Source organism: Homo sapiens, chromosome 10 (genome assembly GCF_000001405.40).
Source record: "Homo sapiens chromosome 10, GRCh38.p14 Primary Assembly".
Taxonomy (NCBI): Eukaryota; Metazoa; Chordata; class Mammalia; order Primates; family Hominidae; genus Homo; species Homo sapiens.
Genome location: NC_000010.11, coordinates 88,367,478 through 88,387,072, shown reverse-complemented (window position 1 = coordinate 88,387,072; position 19,595 = coordinate 88,367,478). Strand labels below are relative to the sequence as shown.

The following is a 19,595-nucleotide window of genomic DNA, read 5'->3' as shown; positions in this document are numbered from 1 at the left end:
AAATGTTTTAGCAGCTTAATGTCCCTTGGCTACATAAAATTTAGTTCTGTTTATGTGTTTTGGGTGTACAGATCACTTTTTATTCAGATGGACTAGAGCATAAACTGGCATTGAGTTTTCTGGCAATGAAACGTCATAGCACTGGAACCTCACTGGGCTTTACAAAAATGCATTCAAAATATTTTAAAGTACTTCCACTTTATAACTGATGACAGAAGATGATAAATACATTGTGGTTATTTTGCTCCTGTTTTTTGAACTTTCAGTGCTGGGATTATTGGAGACAACTACCCTGAGATAGCAGTGATTTGGGAACTAATACCTAATGGCTAAGTGGGTGTCCTCAGCCCTCACATCCTGCTTATCTATGGAAACTAAGTAACATGGGAATGATAGCTAGAAATCCACCCTTTTCAGAGGACCCAAGAGTCCATCTTTAAATGCTGTATGGCTGGGTATGCTGTGAGGATTCTCTTAACACAGAACAGCTCTGCCTTCCAAAACCCTAAAGACGTTTGATAAGGAAAAATAGCTAACAAGTTATGCCTTTCTCATAACCTTTGAAACCTACTTAAAAACTGAAACAGTACAAGAATTTGCAGTTTAAAATGACCAGAGAAGTGGCAGAAAGCCAGAATTCTGTCAGAGACGGCTTAGAAAAGCTTAATGATTAACAAATGGGTCACTGCCTTCAGGCTCTGACCTTTAGAACTAACCAATTTTAGCCTTTTGGTTATGTTCCTTCAACTCGTTTTATATCAAGGAAAAAAAAATACTCTCTAATGGCACAGTACCACCCATCCAAAAAAAGGATTCTTAGCAGTCCAGTATTTGGTCAGTAGCTTTTCTGATAACATGGAGTTGGTCCTAAGCACAGTATTAACAACTGTTAAATTATATTTTTTGTTAGAGTTTAAGGAAGGCCCTAAGCACGACTGCATATCCTGCAGGTGAAATGTACGAAATTTCGGTTAACATGGTAACGGCTCTAAAAATACCTAGGCTACAGTTTAACCACAGAGTTTCCTCCTTAACGTAAAAAAGCCACCATCACGAGCTGTTAGAAAGTGCAACAAAAGCAATCTCTGTCGGACTTTGTGCAAGCAGGCTATTAAATCAGGCCTGGCAGTGACAATCTGCAGCCACTCTGCATCAAAGTAATAATTAAAGTTTTGCAAGCCCAAACAGCAATGCACAAACCACCTAAGAAATATGTTACATTGATAAGTCCTTTTTTTCTGCCTGTAACTTCTCTTCTCCCCTACCCCCAACCACCAGGTGGACTAAGCAGGGCGTGGCAGGGGCACCGTGACAAAGAGTCACCACACCATAACCACAGGGCCCCACCCGAAGGAAAACCTAGGGCAGGCTGCCACGGTTTTCCCAGCAACCTCTGCACCAGGATCCCATAGAGTATGCACAGGAGGCTAAATCACTCACCTGGGGTTTCCCATCTGGGCTCTTTGCTTGGCAGAGACAGAGAGGGTGGGGTCAACCTTTTCCTTGATGCTTTTGCAGTTAGCAAGTTGGAAACACATTTGACTCTTTTGAATTCTGTGCCTTGGCTATTCAGGAGTCTGTCATGTCTGGGCTTACTAAATTCTACCATGTCTAGGCTGCCGGGTTTAATAAATAGAAATACCTGACATCCAGTTAAATTGGAATTTTGAATAAACAGTGAAGAATTTAGTGAGTGTAAGTATATCCCATGCAATGCTTGGGATACTTACACTACATACTTATATACTTATACTACAAATAATTTCATAGTTTACCTGAAATTCAAATTTGACTGGATGTACTTTCAGAGTCTTTTTATCCACCAACACCCAATTAACAAATTGGTTTTTATTTGTTTGGGCTTTTTAACTTCATTTTGCTTTTATTTAGTTTTGCTTTGCCTTGCAAGCCTTGGGTCAGTGTAGAAAGGCTAATCCAAGGAAATGAGCTAGCATTTGCTGAGCTCATTCTTAAATCAGGCTTCATCTTAGGTACTTTTGATGCATGGTCTTTTAAAATCCTCACATCATCCTCTATAATAGCCTACTTAAAATCCACATTTTATAGAGGAGGGTACCTCAGCTCAGAAAGGTTAAGTGATTTGACCAAGGTCACACAGCTAACAAGGAGGCAAAGCTAGGTGTAAGCCTAAGTGAGTATGACCCCAACTGGCTTTCTCAACTACTTAGTACATCTGCAATAGTCACATTTAAATGTAATAGTTAATTTTTGCCTGTTTATCAGACATTAGGTTCTTTTCCTTAACAAACGTCAACTCAATAGCATAGATTTCATAAGCGAAAAGCTCAAATTGACAGCTGAATTGGGAACTGTTCTCCATCAACTCCTGGTACATAATAAACTATTTTATTAATCTCTTTACTAAAAATGAACTTCCAGGCCATTTCTGACTACTCCACACTAGAGCTATAGTTGTTCTAAGTGCTTTCTATATAGTAATTAATCTAATATTGAAATCAACCCTATGATATAGTCAGTACTATAATTTTCAATTTATAGTGTAGAGAAATTGAAGTTCACAGCCTTTCCCAAGGTCATACACTGGTAAGGGAATTAAGCATGATTTAATCTCATCTTCCTGGCTGCAAAGCCTAGGTTGTGTGGCTTTGAGGAATTACTTAGCCTCTCTGAGCCTAAGTTTTTTCATGTGTAAAATGGGAATTATAACTACAGTACTATCTATATCATTGTTAACCATCTAAATAATGGTTAATTCATTTACCAGTGTTTGACCTTGAGAAAGTCTCTGAACTTAAACAGCTTTGCACATAGTAAGCACTCAACAAACATGAACTTATACAATTATTTTGAGAATTATCTTTAGTAGACACCTTTGACAATAAAGGACATAAGAGAATAGTCTATGTCAGGGATTGGCAACATTTTTCTGTTAAGACCCAAAAAGTAAATATGTTAGACTTTTTAGGCCAAGAGTCAAAATCAAGGATATTATGTGGGCAATTACATGACAAGATAGAAAACAAATTTCTATAAATCTTTATTGACAAAAATGGAAAATTTGATAATAATAGTTAAGTATAATTTTCTATAATATAGGTCTACTGATGAGAAAAATTGAATTCTTTTATTGTGGGAGAGTGATAACATTTCACTTAATTGGGGTTCAAAGTTAGTGCTTCCTATCATCAGAATCAATTGCCCATGCCCATCTGTTAATGCTGATTCATAATGAGGTTTTACATATTTTGTCTTTGAAAATATCTTTTCACACAAATAGATACTGTCAAATACTAATATCTGTTGATGAACATATGATTTTAATTTAGCACAATCATTACTTAAAAAGCACTTAAAGAATTCTATTAGATTCTTCTCTTGGTATTTGCCTTTTAGCATGTCATTATATTAATTACTTCCAATTGAAGGGTAGGTGGAAGCTCCTCAATTGCACAGTTAAATGGATTTTGAAATAAGGAAATTTCATTTGCACTTGCATCAAAGTCCAAAAAAATCCACTGCTGGAATTGTAGTTTGAACTCAAAAGATATATCTGCTGCACGTTTGTGTGGAAATGGAGGTCTTGCTTCTTGTTTTAACTTTTGACAGCACAGGAAATGTAGAAAGCAGTTTGACATTACATGTGATTCAAACAACATTAGTTGTCACTGAAATGACTTTACCACAGTATAAATTTCACTTGTAAGTGCTGTTTTGCCTAACAATTTTAGGTTGAATTTTTAAAGAAACATTAACAGTCTGTAGGAAAGCTCATTTCCAAAACTATTCAGTATTCAATTATAGGTGATAGTGGTGCATCTCATTCATAAAAATTTCAATCTTGGCCCTGAGCTCAAACAAATCATAATGAAATGTTACTACTACTTAGCAATTGTTTCTGCCATGTGATAGAGAAGTAGAATATTCAGATTCTATTCTAACAAAACTTTACAGGACTAATGATGGTTAAGTCCGCAAAAGTAAATGAATATCACCATTGACACTACTGTTTCAATTACACATGATAGATTTAAAGATGTTCCACAAAGCACCGCTGATGAATAATATGAGTCACTATAGGTTTAAGATGCCTTACATTTTGAAAAGCTATATGAATTTGTACAATTAAACCCTTTTTCTGCTTTAAAATAAATATTTTACCACCGTCTATTGGAACACATCTTAGAAGATTCCCCTTCAGGTTGTGCAGAATTTGTGTTCTCTCAGTTTTTTTGGAAATGTTGTCACCTATAGTTTTACAATGCAGGCTATTCATTAGGCTAATTCTTTAATCACTGTAGACTCAGAATTGACTCCTCAAATAAATAATAACTGAGTGGTATCAGCTATATCTGTCAACTCATCAAGATGCAAGGAAAACCACTCAAAATTACTTGCCTTGTCTTTTAATCAACAATTGCCATTGCTTCCAGTATTCTCAACTATTCAAGCAACTGTTCTCACCAAAAAGCTAATAGTCTTAAACAGGTTTGTTCTATCTGGATAATTTATTCAACTGCTATAATCAAACACAATTTAATTTATTCATCCTCAGTAAATAGCTTTCCTTGCTTGGGAAACAAATGAGCTACTCAGAAAATTATTTTTGATGCAGTGTTATTTGCACTTTTTATTTTTGTGAAAAAATTCTACTGTGATGATATATTCAATTTAATTTTTTATTTCTATGACTATTGGTTACTGGTGAGTTGAGAATAATGTGATGAGTGTTTAACCTAGAAATGCCTGTATATATTGTATTTTTTTAGCATAGCCAAAGTGTCATGCACAATAGACACAATGCTTTGCCATCTAATTTGATAACAGTCATCTACACTCCACTGTACCTGTCATTTGAAGTCCACTTTTCTCTTCTTTTACTGTTTTGAGATGATAGGTATGAAATGGCAGTTTAAAAAATAAGATGTCACAGTACAACGTGGCATGTAAAACACAATCAAATGATAACTATGTCAGTATGATTTGTAGTGTACCCAGCAGCACTGCAAAGCAATAAAAGCAACATATACAGTCAATATGTCACAACTACTCTACTCTGCCATCGTAGTGGGAAAGTGATCATAGATAATAGATATATATATGAAAGAAAGAGCATGGCTGGTTCCAATAAAACTTTATTTATGGATACTGAAATTTGAACTTCATATAATTTGTATGTACCAAAAAATTGTTATTTTTGTATTTTTCAATCACTTAAAAATTTAAAGACCATTATATCAGCTGGGGGGATATAAAAAAACCAGACAGGGGTCAGATTTGGCCCATGGATGGTAGTTTACCAACCCCTGTTCTAGGTAACTAAGTATAAAGTAGATTTCAGAAAACATTGATAAATATTTTTCTAAAATTTAGAAACTTTTAAGTGATATATAATTTGTACTTTAAAACTGTCTCTGTTTGATATATCATCTTAATATTTGTTTAATCACAGAAACCTAGTGTAATCTATAATTCAAAGGGACGGTCATCTACAATTAGAGGGAAAATTCAAGGAGAATCAACTGAAAGCCTATTATCACTAATAAAAGAATTTTTTAAAAGCTGAATATAAAAAACAAAAAATACTTTTAATATGTATATATATATAAATACACATACAAATATATACATAATTCAGTAGTTTTACTATACTTCAGCAATGGCCAATTTGAAAATATTGTATTTTTAAAAAACTATCCACAAGAATAACGAAAACAACAGACTACCTAGGAATAAGCCTAAAATAATTGTACGTGAGTAGATGAAGAAAACTTCTAAAACTTTGCTAAAGGATCTACAAAATGACCTGGATATATGGGGAAATATACCATGTTAATATACAAGAAGACATAATAAATATGTCAGTTTGCTACACATTAATTTATTAAGTCAAAGCAAGGCTGTGACTTAAGTGCCAAGCAAGGCACTTGGCGAGTTTATTCTGAAATTTATCTGAAAGACGAAATTCTTAAAATCTGCAAAGATATTTCTGGGGGAAGAAAAATTAGACTATACTATGCGTTCTACTGGATATCAGAACATATCAAAAAGCTATATAAATTAAAATAAAATGGCACTTTTGTAGTAATGATCAAACAGTTTAATGGTTCAGAATAGACAGTCTAGAAATAGACATATATTTATTTAAGAATTTAGTTCATAAAGGAGGCATTTCAAATCAATGGAAAAAGAATGGATGATTTAAATAAATGGTACAGAGACAACTGACTATCCATCTAAAAAGAGTTAGATTTTCACTGTCCCATACCATGTAAAATAATAAATTCAAGATAGAGTCAGAGACTGATCTTATGATGAATAAGAAAAGGTATAAAAGTGCTAGAAGAAAGTATAGGATATTTTTATATTCTTCAAATGGGAAAGCCTTTTTCTAAAAAAGACACAAAACCGGCCGGGCACAGTGGCTCACGCCTGTAATCCCAGCACTTCGGGAGGCCGAGGCTGGCGGATCACGAGGTCAGGAGATCGAGACCATCCTGGCTAACACAGTGAAACCCCGTCTCTACTAAAAAATACAAAAAAAAAAAAAATTAGCTGGGCATGGTGGCGGGCGCCTGTGGTCCCAGCTATTTGGGAGGCTGAGGCAGGAAAACAGCATGAACCCGGGAGGCAGAGCTTGCAGTGAGCGGAGATCACGCCACTGCACTCCAGCCTGGGTGACAGAGAGAGACTCCGTCGTCTCAAAAAAAAAAAAAAAAAAAAAAAAAAAGATACAAAACCCCAAGACTAAAAAATGAAAACAATGAACGGATACATAAAACTCAAATTTCTCTATTACCTAGCAAGCAACTGGTTGAATACATTTGCAATATAGGTAACAAAAGTAGGATTAATATGCAGAAAATATGAGCAAGACAAATAACCCAAGAGTCAAACAGGCAAAATTTGTGAATAGACAGTACACAGAAGAAATGCAAATGATCAATAAGCATGAAAAGATAATCAACCTCCTTCGTTGTTGCAATTTTTTATTGCAATGTGACAAGCCACTCCAAACTTTAGTGACATAAAACAATCATTATATTATGCCAAGAACTCTGTGGGTCAGAATTTTGGACAGGTTACAATGCAGACGTTTGTCTCTGTGCCTTGGTGTCTGGGGTCTCGGCTGGAAAGACTCAAAAGCTGGGAGGTGACTGGACAGCGGGGGGCTGATACCTTCAGGAGCCATCTTCACTCACAAGTCTGTTGGTTGATGCTGTTGTAAGCTGGAGCTGTCTGCCAGAAACCTATGAAGCCTCTGTAAATGTCCTGAGATTCTTCACAACATGATGGCTGGGTTCCAAGATTGAGTCAGAACCAGCCATAAGTTGTATCATCTTTTATGACTTAGCTCAAAAGTCACTGAGTGTCAGTTCTGCCTTAACCACAGACCCTCTTAGTTTCAAGGGAAGGGGATATAGACCCTACCTCTTGATAGAAAAGTTGTCAAAGTCATATTTAAGAAGAGAATCAGGGATGGGAGATATTGTTGCAACCATTTTTGGAAAATCTATCTGGCAAATTAGTTATCAGGAAAAGGCATATTAAATACCTAGAAACCACTTACTTACCACGTATCAGACTGATAATTCTTCCCAGGTTCATTCATTCATTGGGAAAAAGAGCCAGAGGAGTGACAGAAAAGAAAGAAAAAAAAAATCATTTGAAATTTTAGCACTATTTTTCCCTATTAAATAAAAAACACCTTGGTCTGGGGGGAATTTTTTTTGTTCAAAATATTATTAAACTGGCCATTTTACTAGAATGTGAAAAAAGTATTTATTTTGTACACTCTGCTTAAATAGCAATCCATTTTCACATTTAAGTAAACCAAAGCAAAGAAATTCCCTGTTATTAATTTAATTCACTCTTCAACATTAAAACATATATGGTCAAGTGCCACACAACAACATTCCAGTTAATGACACTAGTGGTCCTATAAGATTGTAATGGAGCTGAAAAATTCCTATGACCTCGTGATGTTGTAGCCATCATAATGCCAGAGCAAAATGCATTGCTCATATGTTTGTGGTGATGCTGCTGTAAATAAACCTATTGCTTTGCCAGTCATATAAAAGTATAGCACATACAAATATATACAGTACATAATACTTTATAGTGGTAGTAAATGACTATGTTACTGGTTTATGTATTTATCTATACTATTGTAGGGACCCAGGGAAAACTTCTCCTTCACCCTCTGAAGGTTTGATGGAAATCAACTGACAAAACAGCAGATTAATAAAAAAGGCAAATACAAATTTATTATAATTTTACATGACTTGGGAGCCTTTAGAATGAAGACACAAAGATGAAGGAAACAGTCCATTTTTATACTTTGGTTCAACAAAGTATGTATAGCATGTGCAAATATGATTGGACAAAAAGGGTATGATCTAATGCTAATAGACTGAGTGGGAGAACCCAGTAAGGCCTGTCTGTTTAGATTCTTCCTGGCCTTTCTGTGCAGCGTTCCTTACTTCTGGGTAAGGGGCAGGAGCCTCTCTAGAATGGGGGGTCTTATGACCTACAGTCAAACAAGGTAGGTGAGATAATTTTTTATGGCCAATTTTTATACAGAAAGGCAGGGGTGAGGTGGGAGTTAAAGTAATATTTTAAAATTTTATTTTAAGTTAAAGTAATATTTTTAAGCTGGCTTTGGGGAAAAGGGTTCTGGTTTCTATGACGTGCCTTGGGAAGAAGGGATTCTAGTTTCAATGGCCAGCCTTAAGAGAGAATGAGTGGCCAGAAACAGGATGGCAAAAGATCAGGGAGAACCTTTTGCTTCTGAGGCCTTCCTTTTGAGGTACTGTTTTCTGAGCTCCAATACCATATTTTTTATCATTATTTTAGAGTGTACTTCTTAGACTTATTTTTTTTTTAGTTAGCTGTAAAATGGCCTCAGGCAGTTCCTTCAGTAAGTATTCCTAAAGAAGACATTGTTATAGGAGATAAACAGCTTCATGTGTGTTAATGCTCCTTGAAGACCTTCTAGTGGGACAGTACGGGGAGGTGGAAGACAGTGATATTGACGACCCTGACCCTGTGTATACCTAAGCTAATCTGTGTGTTTATGTCTTAGTTTTTAATGATAAAGCTTAAAAAGTAAAAAAAAAATTAAAAATACAAATTTATAAAATAAGGATATAAAGAAAATATTTTCGTACAGCTATGCAATGTGTGTTTTAAGCTAAGTGTTATTACAAAAGAGAAAGTTTAAAAAAAAGTTTACAAAGTACAAATGTTAAGGAAGCTAAGATTAATTTATTATTGAAGAAAATTTGTTAAAATAAATTTAGAGTAGCCTATGTGTACAGTGTATATAAAGTCTACAGAAGATTACAGCAATGTCCTAGGCCTTCACATTCATTCACCATTGACTCACTGACTCACCCACAGCAACTTTCATCTTGCAATCTCTATCTATGGTAAGTGTCCATACACATGTACCATTGTTTATCTTCTACACTGTATTTTTATTGTACCTTTTCTATGTGTAGATACACAAATACGTAACATGTGTTACAGTCACCTGTAGTATTCAGTACAGTAACATCTGTACAGATTTGTAGCCTAGGAGCAATCCACTAGACCATATAGCCTAGGTATGTAGTAGGTTATACTAGCTACATTTGTGTAAGTACTCTCTATGATATTCACATAATGCAAAATCACCTAATGATGAATTTCTCAGAACATATTCCCATTGTTTATGTTCTTCTGAACATAAATTTAATTGCATTTTTTCCCTGTAGCTTACAGTTGTCTTCTACTGGGAGTCAAATAAATACATTTAGAAGATGAGAAGAAAATAACAATAAGGATGTGTGCGTGTGTGTGTGTGTGTGTATATGTGTGTGTATGTGGAGATAATGTGTGTGCATGCATGCGACACACACACACAGAGATGTGGAGAATACACCTTATCTTGTATTTGAGCTTTTCAAAGAATATTTCTGACTTATATGCAAGAAAGTAAGAAACTCAAGTGTAGCTAACCTTGTCTGATTTTAGGAAGCCATACAAATATTATTTCAAAGAGAATTTTCCCATATAAAATAATTCACTACGTTTAATGAATAATTTATAATAAATGGTTTGATATTTCTTATGAAGTTAAGTGTTACTCTTTTTTTGTATCTTAAGTGCATAGTTTATATGGTAGTATTTTTAACAAGACTATTGAAACAGACTTCCTTTTCCAAAAATAAAATGTTTTATGTTCTTAGCCAAAACCATTTTGATATTTTTAAAATATTGTGAATGTGAATGTATGATTTTATATTGATTTACTTTACCCACAATATTTATATATTGTTCATTGTAGAGTTAACTACATGGTATGTAGGGGAAGATTTGCATATATTTCACACAGGCAGGTTGCTGTATATACTAATATGTGAGTGTAATCCCATTCTGATTTTGGTATACCTGCCACCATAGAAATAAAGCTGGCGATTCAGTGACTAGAAAAAGACAATGAAGAGTGCAAGCTTTTTCCAGCCATGCCTGAGTAACAGTTGGAGCTGCTTTCCCCACAACATTATCTTTTTGACACTTGCAAGAGAATAATATTCATTTGCAATTGCTAATGCAATACAAACACCAAGTTAGCAAATTAAAAAGTTAAATTTCTCAAAGCGACATTGACTCATCTATATTACATACAATAAATAAATATTTTATTTGCTTCATCATTCAATTCAATTTCCCAATATGCATTATTTGAAATAGAGGTAAATTTTTCTATGAGGTGCCTATTCTTATTTTCTCCTTTTTTCACTAAAGGGATTCAGGAAATGCCACCCCAAAATATGACACATTGGTATGTTTATTGCTTTGAACTGAGGACACTTGGGGAACAGTGGATGCCGGCAGAGGCTTCCTCTGAGCTCCCTTTAGTCTTCCTAAAGACAGCCCCCAAAAGGAACTAAATTGTCATGAATCCCCTCCCTGGGAATCTTATCAACCAAGGAAGATTAACTTCGATCACAGGAGAGGAGATTGGAGGTGGACACCATGACCCCACAGATTAACACCTATTTTTCTGAGGGCTGCTCCCAGATAACTTGTATTACGTGAGAGACCTTATGTCTGCGTAAGACAACCATTTATTCACCATACATTGTCTCCCCTTATCCTCCCATTGCTTGTGTTGCCACCATCCCCTGGAAGTGCCAAGCCCCTACTCCTTTCTGTACCTCAGGATGCTATATAATCATCTGATCCTTCTTCCAATCCCATATTTTATGGGACTCCCATGCATACATGTTATTAAATATGGTTTTCTCCTATTAATCTGTTTTATGGCAATTTAATTTGTAGCCCAGCCAAAGAACCTAGCAGACTGAAGGGAAGCCATTTTTCCTTACCCTACTGCACCATCCTAAATCTTTGTGCAAAAGGAGAAACTAGCACAGTGAAATTGTTTCTAAATTAGAAACCAGAGTGTAAATCAGTTCTCATTGCAGGCAGCTCTCAGTTTATGAACTCTCTGTTGGTAATCTGATTGTTTCCAATTAGGAATGGGTGTTCCCATAGAAATAATGTTGTAATCTGCCATCTCAGGCTTGCCTGAAAAAGTTTATCATTGATACAATAGAAATACTACCATTTGCACAAATGAAAGAGCAATACAATCAAAACAAAGCAATGTTTCTATTTATATTGGACATTGGTTATTAACAAAAAGCCAGATGAAGAAGGAGATGGAGTCTTTTGTGAGATTCGGAAGGGGACTTCGGGGAACTCTTACTAGTTCATAGTCCTTTATGACATCTAATTTCATTTTAAAAGAATGTGGTTTTTCTTGTCCCTGCAACTCTAAGCATTAAAGCCATTTTTAATTTATTTTGGGGTTTTTTTGTTCTCTTTGAAGCTAGGGGTTGTTTTGTTCTGTTGTTGTGGTAGAAGTTGGTGTCTTGTTCATAAATGGAATAAAAGAGAAAGGGAAGAGAAGATAATTTGGTGAGCTAAGAAGAGATCTTGTGACAACAGGACAAGAAATTGAAGAGGAAGAGAGAGAGTAACAAGACTGGAAATTTTAAAAGGATATATATACTTTAAGAAGGAAACTGGCTTAGTAGTGAGCTGTTAACTGAAAACTTCTGGTAAGAATGAGAGCAAGTGGGGAGGAGGTCATTTGTGGTTATAGTAGGGAGTAGGAGGTAGCAAGAGTAAACCATCAGATGGACATCAAGCCAGAATAATTTGCTTGCTGCCTGAGCTGGGGGTAAGTGCCAAGGTTAGTTGCGTAGAAGCTTGGAAAAATAGTCTGCATGGATATTCATAACCTAGGGTGAAACCAGATATGTATGAAGAGATTTCAGCAGGTAACTCAATAATTGTATGCTAAATGTCCATGAAATCAGTGAGACTAGCTCCATTTTAATGTCCCTGAGAAGACCCATGTATCACTCACAAGTGTGGGGAGAAAAGTTTGATCTTTGGAATTTGTTCTTTAAATAATGGAATGACATCCCATATGTCACCTCATCATCGAGATCACGCCCTAGCAGATGTACACATTTCCCTGCAAACAAAGAGTAAACAGGTGTGTGAGGTGGATATGTTAGCGCAGGAAAGCAAAAGGAGGAATTTATGTTTTTGACTCTAAAAATGGGAAAACCATGAGTCTTGAATATGTCATAAGAAAGAAGTAAACCACCTGCTATGTTCTAGGCATAAGAGGTGCTTTGGTTAATTGCATTAAATTATATACTAACTAATTAATAACAGACACCTGGTAAAAACAGATACCTTGTTAATAAGGAGAACTTTTGGATAACCTGGTCTATAATTGAAGTTATAGGTCAGAAGCAAACACCTTGAGGTTATGAAATATCATGTCTTTCCAGAGATGAGCCAGGACAACTTTTTCATTTTCTTTCTCTTTTGCTATCACAGCTGAATCTCCTTTTAACAATTGTAACTTCTTATACCAGTTAAGGCCATTTTATTGAACTCTTTTCCTGCAACAATAACAATAATTGTTATTATTTTTTGCCCCTATTTTGTGTCAGCTATATATTAATATATAAAATTTCTAATTTTCTAATCTTCATAACAGCCCTTTAAGGTAGATCATACTTCTGCTTAACAGATGGGGCTAACTGAAGCTCAGTGATATAAGATTTGTACATCACATTATATTATTATACAGTTATTTATACAGACACACACAGTCTTTTGCTGAGGGTCAGAAATGCAAGTGTTCAGTTAAAAATAACCTCCATCATCAAATTTTTCAGGTTCAGCATTTGCAGTGACGTGAATCTCAGGTGGGAAATAAGGGAAAATGATTGAAACCTATTTCAATCACCCATTTTCATATTATGGAAACAAAACAAAGATAATAATATGGAAACAAAGATAACCAAGAAAAATGAACAATATTTTACTAATGTGTGAACACCAGTACATTAATAAAATTAACTTTTAAAACATTGCAAAGAAATGGTAGGCTGATATGAAGATAAAAGCTAATTTGCAAAGAAATGGTAGGCTGATATGAAGATCAAAAATAATTGTGCTTTTCATCAAATTGAGATTTTTGTTAGTTATGAAAGCATAATTTTAAAATAAATAAAATGCTGTAGGCTTCCACAAGATGAAGGCTGTTGCCTCTTACACTTTTTATTCCCAAGTTTAGTTTATTTGCTTTGGCTTTAGCTAAGCTTTGTGAAGAGTTGTTATTATGTAAACAGAAAAGAAGCTAGTGGATCTGCAAAGTACAAAATGAACATATTGTTTAGTGTCCTAGAGCTTATACCACCAGATTCTGATGTTTTGCTTCAATACCACAGATTTCAGGTGTTTGCAAACAGTGCTTTCTGATTTCCAAAACTATAAAACTTTTTAATTAGAATATTAATTCTCCAAGTCATTGCCTTGGTATAAAGTATCTCTAGCCATAAATGTAAAAATATGTATCTGTATAAAAATATGAGGTGACATGTAATAAAGTTTTTATTGTTATGGATTTTAGAATGACTATATTGCTCATGAATGGCATGGCCATAAAGTAATTAGATGGATAGGCTGGGAAGAGTGGCTGTAAAATAAATATGTATGATATTCTGTGACATTTTGTATAATAGCACACACAATGTTTTATTTTCATGTTCTTGCCCATCTGAAACTCAGCATTTTTCCCAACAAAAAGAATGATGGCATAATAGTCTAAAAAGTTTAGAATGCATGGAAATAAGGAAAGCATTTTCCAACCATATTATTGTGGTTTGCAGACTTAGTGTATGTGTTCTGTAAAGAAAACAAGAAAGCCAAATACGTGAAGAGAAGATTCCCAAGGATAAAACTGATAATAACTAGAGTGAAATTATTTTACATGTCAGTCCAAAATTAATTCTAGACTCTGCTAAGTGGTTGAGAGATTTTTTATAGTGATTAGCATAGTGCTGGATGCATAGTAGGCCTACAATAATGTTGCTTGAGTTAACTAATCTTTCTTGGTTTCAGAAAACAGTTCCTGCGTTTAAAAATGTTCATTTTTTTCTAATCCCATGCTTAGAACGTGTTGCTATAGAAACGACTGAATGTCATTTCGGTTTCACAGGACCTCCGGATAAAGAGAAGAGTGGGTAGTTTGTAAAGCAGCAGACTTCATATGATTGGGAGAAAGTCATAAGATTTTATGAAAAACCAGCTACCGTCACATCTACATAGCTAGATAGTCTTTTACAATGGCTGCTGGGACAGAGTGGCAAAAGGCAGTAAAGCAGGGACTAGAGAGAAAACCCTTTTTTCCTTGACAGATTGTTCTTTATGATTAAAAAGATAGGGAATCAGCAGGGATTAGAAAACGCTCCCTGATTGCCAGGGGGAGAGGGGAGGGGACCTGATTAATCACAAATACTGGTAACACACTAACAGTTTGAGCCTTTACAATGCTGCAAAGGCCTTTTGGCATGACATCTGCCCCCAGTATGGCAGGATCACCTGTTTAATCACGGAAGCTGAAGAACTTGCTTCTAAAAAAATGCCTTGTTTATTTTTATCCTATGGGAACAAAAGTCATGATCTATTAAGTATTATTGTATTTTAGAAACTTCAAGTGTCTTTATGTTCTTTTCTTTCCTTTTAAATGCCACTTAAAGCATTGATTGTTAGGGTCCCACACAATTTGGGAAGCATTAAGATAACTTTATCTTGCTAGATATGAACTTTATTGTCCTATAACACCAATGCTTTCCTTCTGACAACTTCCAAAAAAAGCCAGCTATGCATAACTAGGCGGAATTTACCTGTTAGACGGTGTATTCAAGTCATGATTTGTATTCAGGTAATGATTAGCATTCTCCATAAACACGAGTGTAAAAACAGCTTAATCCTAAATGTTTACCAGAAAATAATCTCTAGTGAGCAGAAGGCAATACAGAGAAAGCCACTTCTTTGGTGCCCTTTATTTTTATACGATTGTGAGATAGGATTAAGAAATATAATGCTAGAGTAATGATCCAAAATTTGGTTTTCATTAATTTCCAAAGACAAATCTTTGAACATTCAGCCTTCTAAAGTAGAAAGATAACCAAAGAATTCCACAATGTATGTTAATTTTTCAAAAATTATTGCCCGAAATACTTTTGACATTCTTAATACTCCGTAAAGTTTTGTTTTGTTTTGTTTTTATTCTCTACTCTGAAAAGTGAAGTGTAGCCGTGCAGTTTACTAGACAAAGACGTGTCTTTGATTTAGTATCGTCCTGATATGCTTGACTATTAGGATGCCACCTCTAAAGGCTTTTTTAAAACGTTTCTAAAGTGTGATATACACATAGACACCCCTGAAGGCTTTTAAAATCAAGTACGGTCATGTTGGATTTTTGCAATACACTTGTTATGTGCTAGGTATTGTGTTAAACACTTACTATTATCTTGTTTAATTTTTTTTAACAATCTTTAAGGCAGGCAGTATTATTACTCTTATTTTACAGGAAAACAGATGCTTAGAGGGATTAAGTAGCTCGTCCAATGTCACACAGATAAATGTCAGAAACAGAATTCAAACCCAAATTTTTCTGACTCCAGAGATGCTTCTCAGGATGAAAGAAATATTTCCTCAGGGAAATCCCACATAGATATAACTGCTGAAGTCTGTCACCAATAAACTCTAGATTTATTGCTTGCCAAGACTATTTCTAAAACTGTGCTTCTAGCCCTAATGACTTCTATACCTATAGAGTCCAAGTTAACATTCAATTTATTCCAGGTGAAGTGAAACAAGACTGATTCCGTGCTTTTATAGGAAAGGAGTGACTCATGAGTGGTAAAATTTCAAACTCTCCTGGTCTGCTAGGAGAACTGTTTATGGAAAATGGGACTTTCAGCACTATTTCTACAGCCACTTTGAGTCAAGAGGAACCAGCTATTCTGGCTAAGATACTATTGTCCTTGTGTACCCACAAAGTGCACAAAGCTAGATGATCTAATCTAAGGAGTTGAATTCGTGCACAACATTTCTTGACGTTCTTGGAATTCACCATAAAAAATAAAGGTAATAACTAAATCAAGAGCTGTTTCCTTGATCAGAACTTAGTTATAATACAAATTGGCTTCCTAACTTCAGCTGTCCCTGAGCTAAAATGCTTTATATATGGTGGTAAATCAGGAAATTAGCGATCTTCTCTAATTAGCTGTAAACAACAAAACTTCTGGTGGGAGCTTAAAGGCTTTGAGCACCAAGTATCAATGTGAGCAGCATTTAACAATAACTATAATATTGGTAATAAATACCTTGATACACTTTTTAAAAGTGTTTATTTTACTATTAACATTAAAATCTTCATAATCATGCCCTCAAAGTCAGTATAATGTGAAGAGAAATGCATCTGAAAGCAGTACCTTATTTACTTATGAAAAAATAGACCTTTATAAATTGCAAAATATTCTTACCATACTCCTGGGCCCATGGATTTGGTTTTAAGAGGTTGATCTCTACTACTGCCTGAGAGTATAATGTTTCAACTTGGCTTCAGAGTGCTTTCCTAGAAGAAGCTAGATGAAAATATAGTTAAATATTGTTTCAGTCAGGGTCCCAGCAAGAAATAGATGGTATATGTGAAAGAGTTTTATGTAAAGAATTTAAGGGGCTGGGCACACTGGCTCACACCTGTAATCCCAACACTTTGGGAGGCCAAGGCGGGTGGATCATTTGAGGTCAGGAGTTCAAAACCAGCCTGGCCAACATGGTGAAATCCTGTCTCTGCTAAAAATACACACCCGCAAAATTAGCCAGGTGTGTGGCATGTGCCTGTAATCCCAGTTACTTGGGAGGATGAGGCAGGAGAATAGCTTGAACCCAGGAGGCGGAGGTTGCAGTGAGCAAAGATTGCACCTCTGCACTCCATCCTAGGCAACAGAGTGAGATTCTGTCTCCAAAAAAAGAATTTAAGGAAGGGGTATTTACAAAACAGTGGGCACGGTTAAGGCAGCCAGCCAGGGATGTTGTGGCACCTAGGAACTAGTAACAGCAGGAAGCCGTTACTACTCCTAGGCCTAAATGGGTGAGGGAAGAAAAGGTTACCAATCAATGCCCCATGAGAGTTGGAACCAGGGGAAAAGAGCCACCTGAAAGGAACTTTAGCTGTAAAGGAGCTCACCATTGCCAACACCTGGCAAAGCAGGAAGGAACAGGAGGAATCAATATCCCAGCCTCTGTCTCCTACCTGAGAATCCCCTGCCTATGTCACCAATTGACCAAAACCTTCCAGAAACCAGAACTCTAGGGAATTCAGCCCATAAAGGGGCCAGTCTCCCTGGGCACAGATCAAAGCAGAGAAGGGCAAGGAATGGACATGGGAGAGCAAGAATAACCAGCATAAATAGACTTCTTGTCTATTCAAAGAAAGAAGAGTCATGGGGAGGGAGGAAAGAAACTGATTATCCATGTAAATATTATAATATATGCAATACTAAAAAGTAAACAGGAAAAATTTTATAATATACAATAAATTTAGAATGCCTATATCACCCATTAATAGAAATCAATTTAATAACATGAAGAATCTAATAGACCAGTTAGCAAAATGACATGAACAGACTGTTTGCAAAAGAGAAAATATATATGGGCTTTTAGTCATATGAAGAATGTTTAGTCTTACTATATTAGAACCAAAGCGAGATCTATTCTTCCTAGCAAGTAACAAAAATTACTTAATATAAGCAAGGATACAGTGAAATGGGTCTTTTGTATACCACTAATAGAAACTATAAATTGGTATAGTGTTTCTGAAAATCTATTTAACAGTAATTCCACTTTCAATATCTATCTTAAGGAAATAATTAGAAACATAGATAAAAATCTGCACAAAGATGTGCATAATAGTGTTAATTATAAAGGAAAAAAGGAAACGAATGTTCAACATTAATGAAACGATTAACCAAATTATGCAACATACATTTCATCAAATATTATAGAGGCATTAAAATATTTACAATGAGGGCTTTTGGTCTTATGGTAAGCAGAAATTCGGTACGCAAAATTATATGTACGATGTGATCACAACCATGTTTAGAGAAAAAACATAACACACTAAAGGAAAAATATCAAAATGTTACTTATCAGAATAATGAAAATATGGTGATATTTTTACATTTTCCCTCTTTATATCCTTGCCTACTTGCCAAATTTTCTGAAATGAGGATATATTCATTAATATTTATTGAATGCCATTGTTGCACTAGTCACTGTCCTGGGACCTGGACATACAAAGCTCATGAAGCACAGTCTTTGCCTCAAGTTGCTTACAATCTAGTGTCTTATTTTTATATTGTAATTTCCAAAATAATAGGATAATAAAGCTATCATTTATTAAATTAGGGTGGATGAGGGGAAGTAGTATTCGATATATTTGGTCTCTTTCCCTCACACCACCTTTCAAAGCCAATAGGAATCCTGGCTGCCTATTACTTTAAAATATATCCAAAATCTCATGAAATGTAAACTAATAAAGTTTTCAGGAAAAAAAAAACCATAAGAAAATATCTTTATGATCTTGAAGTAGGCTATTGGCAAAAACATCTTAAGCAGGACACAGAAGTGTTAACTATAAATGAAAAAAATAAGTTAGGCTATATTAAAATTAAAACTCTATTCATCAAATCATACTATTAAGAGGGTTAAAAGGCAGGCCACTTAGGAAGGAAGTTTTAAGTAAATTCATATTTAAGATTCATATCCACAATATATAAAGAACTCCTATATCACAATAAGAAAAAGACAGCCCAAAAGAAAAATGGGCAAAGATTTGAACAGGCAGTGACAAAAGCATATATGAATGACAAACATGCAAGGATTTTCAAATATTAGTCACCATGGAATACAAATTAAAACGACAATGTAATAGTATCTCTACATCCCAGATTAAAAAGACAGATAGTAGCCAATTCTGGCAACAATGTGGAGCAACTCAGCTTTCATACACACCTGGTGGAAGTACAAACTGGTACAATCACTTTAGAAAACCATTTGGCAGTATTTACTAAAGCTGAATTAAGTGCGCTCCATGATTCCGGAATTCCAGTACTAGAGAATCACATACATATGTTCTTCACATTAAATATGTAATAACCAAAATCTACAAACAATCCCTATGT

At 35.1% G+C, this 19,595-nt stretch overlaps 1 protein-coding gene and 1 long non-coding RNA gene across 17 annotated transcripts in view; one reads left to right on the top strand and one right to left on the bottom strand.

Annotated features, from left to right (window-relative positions):
• Window positions 1-19,595, top strand: part of RNLS (renalase, FAD dependent amine oxidase) — a 411,796-nt gene that overhangs the window by 196,246 nt on the left and 195,955 nt on the right. The gene's annotated exons all lie outside the window — the stretch shown is intronic.
• The window catches only part of LOC101929727 (uncharacterized), a 248,010-nt gene continuing 235,366 nt past the window's right edge, over window positions 6,952-19,595 (bottom strand). The window contains exons 2-4 of one of the 2 annotated variants that reach the window (XR_007062226.1): window positions 16,893-16,994; window positions 12,742-12,953; window positions 6,952-7,573 (exon numbers count right to left, since the gene is read on the bottom strand). This is a non-coding gene — a long non-coding RNA (uncharacterized LOC101929727). Of the gene's footprint in view, window positions 12,954-16,892; window positions 16,995-19,595 lie in introns of both variants that reach the window. The other variant, XR_001747537.3, reaches the window with a different exon arrangement.